General features: G+C 42.3%; 1 protein-coding gene across 1 annotated transcript in view, besides 4 other annotated features; it reads left to right on the forward strand.

Moving 5' to 3' along the window:
* The window catches only part of TXNRD1 (thioredoxin reductase 1), a 134,529-nt gene that overhangs the window by 1,077 nt on the left and 119,306 nt on the right, over positions 1–14,146 (forward strand). The window lies entirely within an intron of this gene.
* Positions 2,591–2,735: an enhancer, noted in NCBI's record as "145 bp enhancer 194 fragment used in the MPRA reporter construct; PK_construct_3446". NCBI's record gives its function as "activates an SV40 promoter by MPRA in HepG2 cells {active_cell/tissue: HepG2}" and the evidence as "EXISTENCE:reporter gene assay evidence [ECO:0000049][PMID:23512712]".
* Positions 2,658–2,668: a transcriptional cis regulatory region, noted in NCBI's record as "NFE2L2 motif; enhancer activity is reduced when this motif is scrambled". NCBI's record gives its function as "necessary for full MPRA enhancer 194 activity {active_cell/tissue: HepG2}" and the evidence as "EXISTENCE:site-directed mutagenesis evidence [ECO:0005528][PMID:23512712]".
* Positions 9,920–10,089: an enhancer, noted in NCBI's record as "experimental_23775 CRE fragment used in MPRA reporter constructs". NCBI's record gives its function as "activates a minimal promoter by MPRAs in K562 erythroleukemia cells, with activity observed for both the introgressed and non-introgressed 12:104620638 variant alleles {active_cell/tissue: K562}" and the evidence as "EXISTENCE:reporter gene assay evidence [ECO:0000049][PMID:34662402]".
* Positions 11,383–11,552: an enhancer, noted in NCBI's record as "experimental_23777 CRE fragment used in MPRA reporter constructs". NCBI's record gives its function as "activates a minimal promoter by MPRAs in K562 erythroleukemia cells, with activity observed for both the introgressed and non-introgressed 12:104622101 variant alleles {active_cell/tissue: K562}" and the evidence as "EXISTENCE:reporter gene assay evidence [ECO:0000049][PMID:34662402]".

Raw genomic sequence — 14,146 nt, forward strand, 5'->3', positions numbered from 1 at the left:
CTCTTTCAAAGGCTTACAGTTTAGTTACAAGGCAGCATATGGTGAAGGGCTAAAAGGAGTGGTAAAAACAGCCAAGTGGGGATGGCAGCTCCCATAGATGAGGTAGGATTTGGTAGAGGTGTCTGAAGGGAGAACATTCTTGTTAGGGGAAGCAGCCGGTGAGACCATGCTAGAGATAGGGAGGCCTGTATATCCTGCTGGAGTTAAGGACTTGGATTAGGGGAAGGGAAGAATAAAGGAACAGGGTAGGAGCAAGGTCAGGCAAGGTCCAGGTCAGGCAGCTAATTTGTGGCCATTAGTACAATGAAGGAGTTTGAGCAGGTGCATCCCAAATTGACGTTTCATGTGCCATCCTCAGGATCTTCTTGATATCTATGTCCTTCCATTTATTTACTGTTTTTCTTTAGCTACATTCTTTTTGTGTGTGGTTAAAAAAAAAAAATTTACCATCTTAACAATTTTGTTTTTTTTTTTTTTTTAGTTTCGCTCTCGTTGCCCAGGCTGGGGTGCAATGGCGCCATCTTGGCTCACCTCAGCCTCCACCTCCCAGGTTGAAGCGATTCTCCTGCCTCAGCCTCCCAAGTAGCTGGGATTACAGGCATGCACCACCACGCCTGGCTAATTTTGTATTTTTAATAGAGACAGGTTTTCACCATGTTGGTCAGGCTGGTCTTGAACTCCTGACCTCAGGTGATCTGCCCACCTCAGCTCCCCAAAGTGCTGGGATTACAGGCATGAGCCACTGCACCCAGCTGACCCTAACCGTTTTTAAGTATACAGTTTTCAGCAGTATTAAGTATATTCACATTGTTGTGAAGCAGATCCCCTGAACTTTTTCATCTTGCAAATCTGAAACTCCATGCCAACTCGTTAACTTTTCATTTGCCGTTTCCCCCAGCCCCTGGTATCCATCATTCTACTTTCTGTTTCTGTGAAATTTGGCTACTTTAGATTGCTTATATAAGTTGGTATCATACAGTGTCTGTCTTTTTGTGACTGGCTTGTTTCACTTAGCATACTTGTCTTCGAGTTTCATCTGTATTGTAGCATGCGACAGGATTTCCTTACTTTTTAAGGCTGAATAATATTCCATTGTGTGTGTGTATATGTACATACACACACACATATATACACACACACACACACAAAATGGAATATATATACACACACACACCACATTTTTTTTTTCCCGAGATGGAGTCTTGCTCTATCGCCAGGCTGGAGTGCCGTGGCATGATCTTGGCTCACCACAATCTCCGCCTCCTGGGTTCAAGCAATTCTCCTCCCTCAGTCTCCCAAATAGCTGGGATTACAGGCCCGCCACCATGCCCAGCTAATCTTTGTATTTTTAGTAGTGACGGGGTTTCACCATGTTGGCCAGGCTGGTCTTGAACTCTTGACCTCGTGATCTTCCCGCCTCAGCCTCCCAAAGTGCTGGGATTACAGGCTTGAGCCACCACGCCCGGCCTGAACTATTTTATAATACAGAAAAGCTCACTCGTTATAATACAACTTGCTAAATTTTTACAAACGAAGTATATGCATGCAGCCCACACTCAGCTGAGGAAATAAACGTTTCCAGTACCCCAGGAGCCCCTCTAATGTCTCTTACCCCCATACCAAGGGCAAACACTACTCTGATTTCTAACAGCATAGAAGAATTTCACCTATTTACATTTACTTTTTGAAACTTAAATTTAGGCATATTTTAAGCATTAATCTATTAAAGCACGGCTTTATACTAGGTATTTTTCTTTTTCTTTTCTTTCTTTTTTTTTTTGAAATAGGGTCTTGCTCTGTTGCCCAGGCTGGAGTGCAGTGGCCCAATCATAGCTCATTGCAGCCTCAACCGCCTGGTCTTAAACAATCCTCCCACCTCAGCCTCCTGTGTGGTAAAGTGTGCCACCAAGCCCAGCTAATTTTTTTACATTTTGTAGAGATGAGGTCTTGCCATGTTGCCCAGGCTGGTCTCAAACTTCTGGGCTCAAGTGATCTTCCCACCTTGGCCTCCCAGAGTGCTGGGATTACAGGTGTGAGCCACTGTACCCAGCCTAGATATTTTTCTATACACATACATATATACATAATGATGATTATTATTTTTCTAGAGATGGGTCTCACTCTGTTGCCTAGATTAGAGTGCAGTGGCATGAATCATAGCTCACTGAAACTGAACTGCTGGGCTCAAGTAATCCTCCTGCCTCAGCTTCCTGAGTAGCTAGGATTACAGGGACACACCACCATGCCTAGCCTCAATTTTAAATTTTTTGTAGAGATAGGTCTCACTAAGCAACAGCCCCATCTGATCTCGAACACCTGGCCTCAAGTGATCCTCCTGCCTCAGCCTCCCAAAGTATACTGCACCAGGCCCATATTATACATAACTATTGACATTAAAAATGTTCTTTTGTGTGTCACCTACAAACACTCTAGAAGCCACCTTCCTTAAGTACCATATGATCTCTAAGTTCCTTCTCAAATTAAAATTATGTGGTTAAGTTTCAAGAAACTAATTTCTTAATGATGCAGAAGGTTTTGCTTGAATGACTCTTCAACCGAGCATCTATTATTTATCAGGCACTGGGAACTCAGGGATAAACAAGGCATGATCTCAGTCCTTGAACATAGAGTCTCGTGGAGAAGAATGGCGTAGAAAATGCAGTGTCATGATGTGTAATCATAAAAGTAGATGGGTACACACCACTTCAGGAGAATGGCAGAGGGAGTTAACATCTTGGCACTTAGCATTTAGTATTTCTTCTGTAACACACATTCCATTCTATTTTAATGAGCTTGCAAACATTTTTCCTGCTGGATTTTTGAGGATCAGGAATGTGTTTTGTTCACTATCTTATCTCCTACAGTCCTTGGCATACTGCCCTACAAATCAGTAAATGTGTTTATATGACTCATATGGCAAAAGGCAATTTTTTTTTTTTTAATAAGTGAGGAATGTTCCAAAAGCCAATGCTATTAACATTGACCAGCTTCTTCTAGTAAGGAGAGGAGACAGTATTTTTTCAAAGTGCGGTCCTAAGACCACCTGCAAGAGAATTAATTACATGCTGGGAATGTGTAGATTAAAAACTCATTTTCCTGTTCTCCATTTCAGACCTACTAAATCAGCCTCAGAGTGAAGGAAGCTTCATTTTTGGTGTCTCAAGTGATTCTATTTGAACCAAGGCCTGAGAACACTGCAGTGAGGTGTTTAGGCCAGCGTCAAATCACCTATTTCTGGGCAGAGGTGCCTATCCTTAGCAATGGGGCTGAGGCTGGGGTGGAGGTTGCTACTGCAGATCACTGAGGCTGATAAGGGTGAGTCAGATGCCCCAAGAGGAAATTGAAAGCTTTGGAATGGAACCAAAGATCGTGACTGACATGCAGTCATGCAATCTGCAATCAGAAGTTAGTATTACACGATGCGCTAGATAATTGTAGAGTAATCTTGCTTTTTGTTGATTTTAACCAGGTAATTTAAAGTCATTACTCATTATTTGGATTTTCACATTTGAATGTTTACTCTTTGTATTAATGTGTACTGAGTATTTAAAGCTTTTAAATTAGCTTTTTTAAAAAGTGTATTTTAGGCCAGGTGCGGTAGATCATGCCTGTAATCCCAGCACTTTGGGAGGCCAAGGCGGGTGGATCATCTGAGGTCAGGAGTTCGAGACCAGTCTGGCCAACATGGTGAAACCCCATCTCTACTAAAAAAATACAAAATTAGCTGGGCGTGGTAGCACACACCTGTAATCCCAGCTACTCAGGAGGCTGAGGCAGGAGAATTGCTTTAATCCAGGAGGCAGAGGTTGCAGTGAGCTGAGGTCGTGCCATTGCACTCCAGCCTGGGTGATGAGAACGAAACTCCGTCTCCAAAAAAAAAAAAACGGTGGGGGGGAGGCGGTATTTTAGATTTACAGTTGGATTAAATCCTTGAAAGAACTCAAAAGAAGGAATTAATCTGTTAATGCCTTTTCTTTACCTTCATAAAACATCAGGGAATATTTCATGAATATTCCTTATATCCTACTTTCTAGCTCTGAGCATTACTTTGCTGGTAGAAACTAGTCTACATGTATATAACTATAAATGACTATCACAAATCACTCTTTGATGTTAAAAACAAACTATCTGGCTGGTTGTGGTGGCTCATGCCTGTATTCCTGGCACTTTGGGAGGCCCAGCTGGGAGGATTGCTTGACACCAGGAGTTCAAGACCAGCCTGGGCAACAAAGTGAGCCTCAGTCTCTGCAAAAACAAATAGCTGGGCATGGTGGCGTGCGCCTGTTAGTCACACCTGCTCAGGAGGTTAAGGTGGGAGGATCGCATGAGCGTGGGAGGTCGAGGCTGCAGTGAGCCATGATCAGGCTACTGCACTCCAGCCTGGGTAACAGAGGGAGACCCTGTCTCAGAAAAACAGCAACAAATCTACCTGTTGGGTTTTTCGTTTGTTTGGATTTTTATTTTATTTTATTTTATTTTGAGACGGAGTTTCACTCTTGTTGCCCAGGCTGGAGTGCATTGGCATGATCTTGGCTCACTGCAAACTCCATCTCCTGGGTTCAAGCGATTCTCCTGCCTCAGCCTCCCAAGTAGCTGGGATTACAGGCATGCACCACAACGCCCGACTAATTTTGTATTTTTTGTAAAGACAAGGGTTTCTCCATGTTGGTCAGGTTGGTCTCCAACTCCTGACCTCAGGTGATCTGCCCACCTCAGCCTCCCAAAGTGCTGAGATTATAGGCATGAGCCACCGCTCCCGGCCACCTGTTGGTTTTAGTGGTAGTGCAGTGGTTTTCAGCTTTCAACATTCAAGTACGCTCCCAACTTTGACAAATATAGAAAAGTTATTTTTGCCACAATTTAGTGTGTTTATGGAAGGTGTATACAGAAACTTCAGATGACAGTGTCTGTTAGATGAAAAACTGAGCTGGGCAGGTGGTGGGAAGTTGTATAGACCCAGAAATAACTTGTTATGGGAAGAATTAAGAGGCCACAATTAATGGGTTGAAAATTAAAAATCTGCAGGGACAGGCAGGTCATATAAATGAGTGACCCAGGCAGGTAGTAAACAGCAGGGAGTGGTGGAGACTGGGGTGGACTGAGGAGAGAATGCTGTACAGACAGGGCAATTTCTACTGAGCTTCCCTTTCTTTGGGTGGGAAAATGAGTGTAGTGTGGCCAGACCTGCTTTTTTTCAAGAGAAACTAGAAATCTCTATTTATCATTTTTGTGACTTCCCCAGCTTGTGAATGTCAGCAGTAATGCAATTAAGCAAAATACTGAGGGTCAAACAAGATGTGATTGCAGGTAAATATGGTCTGTGAATGTGTAGAATAATGTCAAGCTGGCACACATTTAAAAAATGAGAAAAAGATGGTGTCTTTTGAATGTATAGAAGTGGCTGGGACAGAAAACAGTTTTTCTTAGATAGTAACACAGTGCAGAGAAGTGTCTGAGTGAACAGTGTAAATGACCGCTGTCAAAGTATGGTTTTCGAAACGTTAAAAATATGATCTTGTACAGAAAAAAAAACAGGTATCAAAACTTAGTCATTAATTAAACCAATAAATGAAAGAACCAATAAAATGGTAAAGCTAATTTAAAGGCAAATTCAAGGACTAGGGACATATAATCAAAGAAATGATGAATTGAATTTGCTAGTACAGTAGTTACAAAGCTGGTTAATGTCTCACAGAGCAATAAAACTAACTTTTGGGCCAGATGCAGTGGCTCATGCCTGTAATCCCAGCACTTTGGGAGACTGAGGCAGGCAGATCACTTGAGGTCAGGAGTTCGAGACCAGTCTGGCGAACATGGTGAAACCTCATCTGTACTAAAAGTACAAAAATTAGCCAGGTGGTGGCATGCGCATGTAATCCCAGCTACTCAGGAAGCTGAGGCAGGAGAATCACTTGAACCTGAGAGGCGGAGGTTGCAGTGAGCCGAGATTGCACTGCTGCACTCCAGCCTGGGTGAAATAGTGAGACTCTGTCTCAAAAAACAAACAAACAAACAAAACTAACTTTTGGGATTATTGAGCAGAAATGTACGAGTTAACATGAAACTTCAGTGTCTAGGCTGTAATAAAATAGTAAACAGCAAAGTCAAGTACAGATACACTCTCTTAAGAAAATTAAATGATCCTTGGGTGGGCTTGTTAAACATGGTCCAGTATGACATTGAAAGGACATTTAGTCAACTTCTTTCTTTACTTCCAAGTTTGGACATTTTTCTTAAGATTGTGGATATTACAGTGTAGCTATGGCTGCCTTGAGATTATTGCTCACTTATATAGTGGCATTTTAAGCTGCTTAATCCCCTCAAATGTGCTGCCAAAATTCTACTTTTTCAAGTATGTGCAGCAGCTTTTCTCAAGTATGTGCATTTAAACTTTTAAAAATGTTTAAAACAACTGTGAGCAAATCGAAGGCTTGCTGCACTCTATATAGGGTCAATGTTTCATTAAGTGCTTTATCACAAAGATTTGTTTAGAAGTGGGCACAAGGCTCTTGGTCATCAAATTCGTTTTAGGTTTAGAGAAGTAATCTTACCTCTTGGAGCAAGAGCTAGATTTCACTCTTTTATGTATAGAGTGAGATCAAGGAAGAAGGGGAATAGAAGGAATAGAACTTAGCAAACAGCTCCCCACTCCCAAGTCAAGTTTGTTAGAAATGTAACACTGGACTACCATTGTTGGGAGACCAAGGAGCATGGTTTCGCTGTACCATTCCTTTCACGGGATTCCATGGGATCTTTCTAGATGTGCTGGACTGGTAAAAATCCTTACCTGTGGGAAGGGAGGGTGTGTCCAGTTGAAGCAGAATAAAAGGAAAGCTAAACCGGGAGGTGACCCTTGATCAAGCACTGGGAAAAAGTGGTAAAAGCTCTTGAATCACTCACTGAGAGGCAGCTGAAGGTGGGGACTGGTGAGGAGGGAGCATGAACTGCTGCATCTGGCAGCCAGCTTTGGGGACCAGTGGCTGGTGCAGACTTGCTAAGGAGTGCTAATGGTGTTTATTAAAACAACAACAAAAGCAATTTAGTTACTCTGGCCCTGGGTGTGGGCAGAGTAGTGTGGGAAGGGGAGAGGGCAGATTGCAAAGGAAATATATGTGAGATTGTTTCTTTTTGCATAGGCACTGATGCATAACCATTCGCACTGGATTAGTCAAAGCTGTAACTCCTGATGAAATTTCTTTAAGGATGAAGGACGTGTGACAAGTTTAGGTCTCCTTTTAAGCTTGTGGCACAAGTTTTTTTTCCCCTGTTCCCTGACCTTGCCAGACTCCCTCACTCATCTGTTCATGAATGGTTGTTCTCTTTTACCTAAAATATCCTTCCTTCTCTTTGCTGGGCAAACTCTCCTCACACATCAAGACCCAGTCCAAATGACAGTTTTGTAATTCCCCAAGTAGAGATAGTTTTGCCCTTTCTGGACATCTGTGGCTCTTCTCATTTTTTTTGTAGGACATATAGTGTATTGTGTAGCATTCTATTAGACTGGGCTCCTGGGGGTAAGGATGTCTTGTTTATTTTTTATTTATGTTTTTTTGAAACAGAGTCTTGCTCTGTCCCCAGGCTAGAGTGCAGTGGCGCAATCTCGGCTCACTGCAACCTCTGCCTCCCAGGTTGAGGCAATTCTTCTGCCTCAGCCTCCCGAGTAGCTGGGATTACAGGTGGCCACCACACCCAGCTAATTTTTGTTTTTTTAGTAAAGACGGGGTTTCACCATGTTGGCCAGGTTGGTCTCAAACTCCTGACCTTGTGATCTGCCTGCCTTGGACTCCCAAAGTGCTGGGATTATAGGCATGAGCCACCGCACCTATAGCTGTCTTGTTTAGAGTTGAATTTCCTGTTTGGGATAGTTCATGGCACATAGTAGATGCTCGGTAAATGTTCAAATATAGTTGTGTCAAGTTATTCCCTCCTGATTTTCTCCCCCACTGTTTGATCAACCCAGGAATCTCTTTCCCCCTTGGAAACTTCTTTTATCTACCTCTCTGCCCCTGACTCACTGGAATCCTACAAATGGGACATCTCAGGCAGGTAAAATTGCCATTGTTATGAGGGTGAGAGAATGCAGATTTTTTACAGTGTATTTCCAATGTCCCATATGGAACATTGTATTTCCCAGTAATACAGTTTTTTTGAAAGAGGGGATAACACCAAAGTAGTCTTGTTAATTAGATAATATTTATTCATTTAATACTTACTAACCATCTTCCATATGTTAGGCATTGTTGTAGGTGCTGGGGATCTGTGAGTAAATATGCCCATATGGAGTTGTTTTCTAGAGTAATGTAGAACTTCTGAGAGCTTTAATAAAAAGGAGTAACATTTATTGAATGCTTATTATGATCCAGGTACTGTGCTGAGTGCTTTATATGTATTAACACATTTAATCACTGCAAGAGGCAAATGAGGAAAGTGAGGCCCAGAGAGGTAACAAGCATACAACTATTAAGTAGTGGAGCGAGGATTCTCATGCTGGAAGCTAGTGTACTTAACCACTGTGCTCTACTGCCTTGCTTAATAGAGTGATTGGGCACGTCTAATGAAACCTTGGTGATATGGTTTAGCTCTGTGTCCCCACCCAAATCTCACCTTGAATTGTAATGATCCGCATGTGTCAAGGGCAGTACCAGATGGAGATAACTGAATCATGGGGGTGGTTTCTGCCATGCCTGTTCTCATGATAGTGAGTGAGTTCTCATGAGATATGATGGTTTTATAAAGGGCTTCCCCCTTCACTTGGCACTCATTCTCTCTCCTGCCACCATGTGAAGAGGTGCCTTCTGCCATGACTAAAAGTTTCCTGAGGCCTCCCCAGCCATGCAGAACTATGAATCAATTAAACCTCTTTTTTTTTTTTTTTTTATAAATTACCTAGTCTCAGATATGTCCTTATAGCAGCGTGAGAATGGACTAATACACCTGGATTCCTCCATCCCTTCATAAGACCTGAACAGGAAGCACTGTTTCCCATTAAAATAAGCAGTTGAAATAAAATCAAACTTTTTAGTGGATTACCAGTATCTGGAAACAATAGAAAAAGGAGCTTATGCCGGGCACAGTGTCTCACGCCTGTAATCCCAGCACTTCGGGAGGCCAAGGTGGGCGGATCACCTGAGGTCAGGAGTTCAAGACCAGCCTGACCAACATGGAGAAACCCCATCTCTACTAAAAATGCAAAAAATTAGCTGGGCGTGTGGTGGGCACCTGTAATCCCAGCTACTTGGGAGGCTGAGGCAGGGGAATCATTTGAACCCTGGAGGTGGAAGTTGCAGTGAACCAAGATGGCACCATTGCACTCAAGCCTGGGCAACAAGAGTGAAACTCTGTCTCAAAAAAAACAAAAAAAGAAAAAGAAAAAGGAGCTTATTCATAACAGTTTAACCTTATATTTAGGGACAGGTAGACAGTTATACGGATGCTGAAGACAGCCAAAAATGTCTAGCTTAGGTTGTAGATGCTGAACGCTGTGGGCTCACTGACCCTTGCCTATGAAGCACTGTAGAATACCTTTATCACTTCATTTCCATAAGTTCAGTTATGTCCCTGGAATATAATCTTGAAGCAGAAGAGCCTGATATAATAACAGTGTAGCCTCTAAGGTTGATCCCCAATATAAGATGATCTTTACAGAGATCTCCTGTTATATTTCAGGCTACTTATTTAGATTATGGCTCCACAAGTCATTTGAGGCAAAGTGGAAAGAGAATTAGAGTGAAGAGAACGGAATTCTAGTTTCTGTTATATCCTTAAATAGCTGTGTGATTTTAGACAAGTTCCAAAGCACCTATGCGCCTTAGTTCCCTCATTTGCAAAATGAAGTGAATGGATGAATATTAAGTCCTCTCAAGCTGTAAAATTCTGTAGGTCTGTCTCCCATAAAATTAAAATTAGGCCCGTAAATGCGTAGAAAATGTAATAATTCCAAATAAAAATACCTAGCATTTTTGGATTCCACAATAGCAAGGTAATTTCCCATGTATTATCTAAGATGTGTCTTTTTTTCCGGTCTTGGCTCCTGGAATGCATGCCTGAATGACTACTAAGGTTTTAACTCATTCACTTTATTTTATATGGTAAGTCAGTAGCTCAAGATAGTAAGGAATAACTTGCTTTAAAGTAATAAATATGTTAAGACCCAAAAGACTGTCAATTATATTTGGAAAAGATTTGGGTAGAGGAATTTGCTACATTCAAGTACATTTCTGGAACCAGTTATCTGAAAGTAGTGATCCTTAAATTCATGTCCTCCTCCTAAGATCTCTAGTGCAGTGTTTTATAACAACTGCTGAGTAACAAATATATCTAGTAGGATATCTTTTTAATTTTATTTTTAAAATTGGTATACAAATAAAATAGATTTTTGGTGTCCTTTTAATTTTTTATTATTTATTTTAATTTATTTCTTTTTGGAGAAAGGGTCTTGCTCTGTCACCCAGGCTCAAGTGCAATGGTGTAATTATAGCTCACAGCAGCTTCAAACTCCTGGGCTCAGGTAATCCTCCTGCTTGAGCCTCCTGAGTAGCTATGACCACAGGTGAGTGGTACCATGCCTGGCTAACTTTTTTATTTTTATTTTTATAGAAATGAAGTCTTCTTATGATGGCCAGGCTGGTCTCAAACTCCTGGCATCAAGCCATCCTCCCTCCTGGGCCTCCCAAAGTGCTGTGATTACAGGTGGGAGCCACCGTGTCTGGCCTTTGGTGTTCATTTTATGAATTTTAACATATGTATACATGATCGGGTTACATAACAGTTCCGTTACCCCACAAAATTTCACCCATGCTATCCCTTTGTGGTTACAGCCTCCCCAGTTGATTAGGATACAACTGTATTCCAATCTCTGGAGCCACTGACCTGTTCTCCATCAATATAGTTTTGTCTTTTCAGGAATGCGATATAAATGGAATCACAAAATAACATTTTGAGATTGATTTTTTCACACAGCATAATACTTTTGAGATTCATCTAATTTGTCATGTGTATCTATAGTTTACTTCATTTTATTACTGAGTGGTATTACATTATACAAGTGTACCATAATTTTTTTGTCCTTTCATTCATTGAAGGATATTTAGATTTTTTCCATTTTTTAGTGATTATAGAGTTGCTATAAGCATTGGTATATAAGTTTTTTAAAAATTGATATATAAGGCTGGGTGCAGTGGCTCACACCCGTAATCCCGGCACTTTGGGAAGCCGAGCGGGGCAGATCACCTGAGGTCAGGAGTTAGAGACCAGTCTGACCAACATGGAGAAACCCCATCTCTACTAAAAATATAAAATTAGCTGGGTGTGGTGTTGCATGCCTGTAATCCCAGCTACTCGGGAGGCTGAGGCAGGAGAATCACCTGAACCCAGAAGGCGGAGGTTGCAGTGAGCCGAGATTGTGCCACTGCACTTCAGCCTGGCAACAAGAGCAAAACTCCATCTCAAAAAAAAAAAAAAAAAAATCTGTATTTGATTAACATACCATAAATATAGGCCGGTTGTGGTGGCTTACTCCTGTAATCCCAGCACTTTGGAGGCTGAGGCAGGTGGATCACCTGAGGTTGGGAGTTTGAGACCAGCCTGACCAACATGGAGAAACCCCGTCTCTACTAAAAATACAAAATTAGTCGGGCGTGGTGGCACATGCCTGTAATCCCAGCTACTTGGGAGGCTGAGGCAGGAGAATCGCTTGAACCCAGGAGGCAGAGATTGTGGTGAGCCAAGATTGCACCATTGCATTCCAGCCTGGGCAACAAGAGTGAAACTCTCTCTCAAAATAAAGTGGGGGCGGCAGGGGAATAACCATTTAAAAGTGCACAGTTTAGAGTGCAACCTTCACCACTATTGAATTTGAGAACATTTTCTTTTCTTTTTTTTTTGAGACGGAGTCTCGCTCTGTTGCCCAGGCTGGAGTGTAATGATTTGATCTCGGCTCACTGCAACCTCCGCCTCCCGGGTTCACGCCATTCTCCTGCCTTAGCCTCCTGAGTAGCTGGGACTACAGGCGCCCGCCACCACACCTGGCTAATTTTTGGTATTTTTAGTAGAGATGGGGTTTCACTGTGTTAGCCAGGCTGGTCTCGATCTCCTGACCTGGTGATCCCCCCGCCTCGGCCTCCCAAAGTAGTGGGATTACAGGCGTGAGCCACCGTGCCCAGCCTAGAACATTTTCATTACTCCAAAAAGAAACCCCATACCCATTAGCAGTAAATTTTCACTCTTTCCCTAGCAATTGCTAGCCTACTTTCTGTCTCTATAGATTTGCCTATTCCGAGCATTACTTTTCTTTTTTTTTTTTTTTTTTTTTGAGACAGGGTCTCACTTTGTCACCCAGGCTGGAGTGTAGTGGTGTCATCTTGGCTCATTGCAACTTCTACCTCCTGGGCTCAAGCAATCCTCCCACCTCAGCCTCCTCAGTAGCTGGGACTACGGGCACACACCACCATGTCTGGCTAATTTTTGTACGTTTTGTAGAGTCAGGGTTTCACCGTGTTGCCCAGGCTGGTCTTGAACTCCTGAGCTCAAGTGATTTGCCTGCCTTGGCCTATTCTGGGCATTTCTTATAAGTGGAATCATACAATCTATGGTCTTTTATGAGTGGCTTCTTTCACTTAGCATAATATTTTCAAGGTTTATTCACATTGCAGCATGTATTAGTACTTCTTTTTATTGTTGAATAACAGTGCATTGTATGAATATACAACATTTTATTTTATTTTATTTTATTTTATTTTATTTTATTTATTTTTTTTGAGATGGAGTCTCACCCTGTCGCCCAGGCTGGAGTGCAATGGCGAGATCTCAGCTCACTGCATCCTCTGCCTCCCGGGTTCAACCGATTCTTCTGCCTCAGCCTCCTGAGTAGCTGGGATTATAGGCGCACGCTACCACGCCTGGCTAATTTTTGTATTTTTAGTAGAGATGGGGTTGCACCATGTTGGTCAGGCTGGTCTTGAACTCCTGACCTCGTGATCCACCTGCCTCGGCCTCTCAAAGTGCTGGGATTACAGGTGTGAGCCACTGTGCCCGGGCAATTTTTATTTCTATTTTAACCACTTCTTGGACATTTGGGTTGTTTCCACTTTTTGGCTGTTATGAATAATGCTGAGAACCATCATGTACAAGTTTCATGTACACATGTATTTTTTATTTATCTTAGGCATATACTTTGAAATAGAATTGTTGGACCATATGGTAACTATATGTTTAACATTTTTTTCATTTTTTTTGAGACAGATTCTTGCTCTGTCACCCAGGCTGGAGTGCAGTGGTGTGATCTTGGCTCACTGCAACCTCCACCTCCCGGTTCAAGCAATTCTTCTGCTTGAGCCTCCTGAGTAGCTGGGACTACAGGTGCATGCCACCACGCCCGGCTAATTTTTGTATTTTCAGTAGAGATGGGGTTTCACCATGTTGGCCAGGATGGTCTCGAACTCCCAACCTCAGGTGATCCACCCACCGCAGCCTCCCAAAGTGTTGAGATTACAGGCATGAGCCACTGTGCCCAGCCATGTTTAACTTTTTGAGGAATTTCTAAACTGTTTCCCAAAGTGTCTATACTATTTTACATTTCTGCCAGCAATGTATTAGAGTTCCAAATTTTCCACATCCTTGTTAACACTAGTTATTGTCTATCTTTTTTATTCTAGCCATCCTAGTGGTGTGAAGTGGTATCTCACTGTGGTTTGATTTGCATTTCCGTAATGAATAATGATGTTGAGCATATTTTCATGTGCTTACTGTTTATCTTCTTTGGATAAATGTCTGTTCAAAGTCTTTTTCCATTTTTTAATTGGGTTTTGTTTTGTTTTGTTTTAAGGAGCAGAAAGTTTAATAGGCAAGAAAGAAGGAAGAAGCTCCCCCATACAGAGACAGAGGGAAAGTCAAGAGGAAACCCTGTGTGGGGCAGAAAAGTGGCTACTTATATGAGGAGGCTGGAGGAGGTGGTGTCTGATTTGCATAGTGCTCAGTGGATTGGTTTGATCAGCATGTCATTCACGAAGCCCCTGAAAAATCTGGCCCTCACACCCTAGCCTTTTAATATGCAAATGCAGGGCGCCATGATGTTTTACACACGTGAGGATGTGTGGGGGTGACCATGTTGCCAGGCACATGTCGGGGCAAGGGCAAGAAAAAGAGGGTG

Source organism: Homo sapiens, chromosome 12, assembly GCF_000001405.40.
Source record: "Homo sapiens chromosome 12, GRCh38.p14 Primary Assembly".
Classification (NCBI taxonomy): Eukaryota; Metazoa; Chordata; class Mammalia; order Primates; family Hominidae; genus Homo; species Homo sapiens.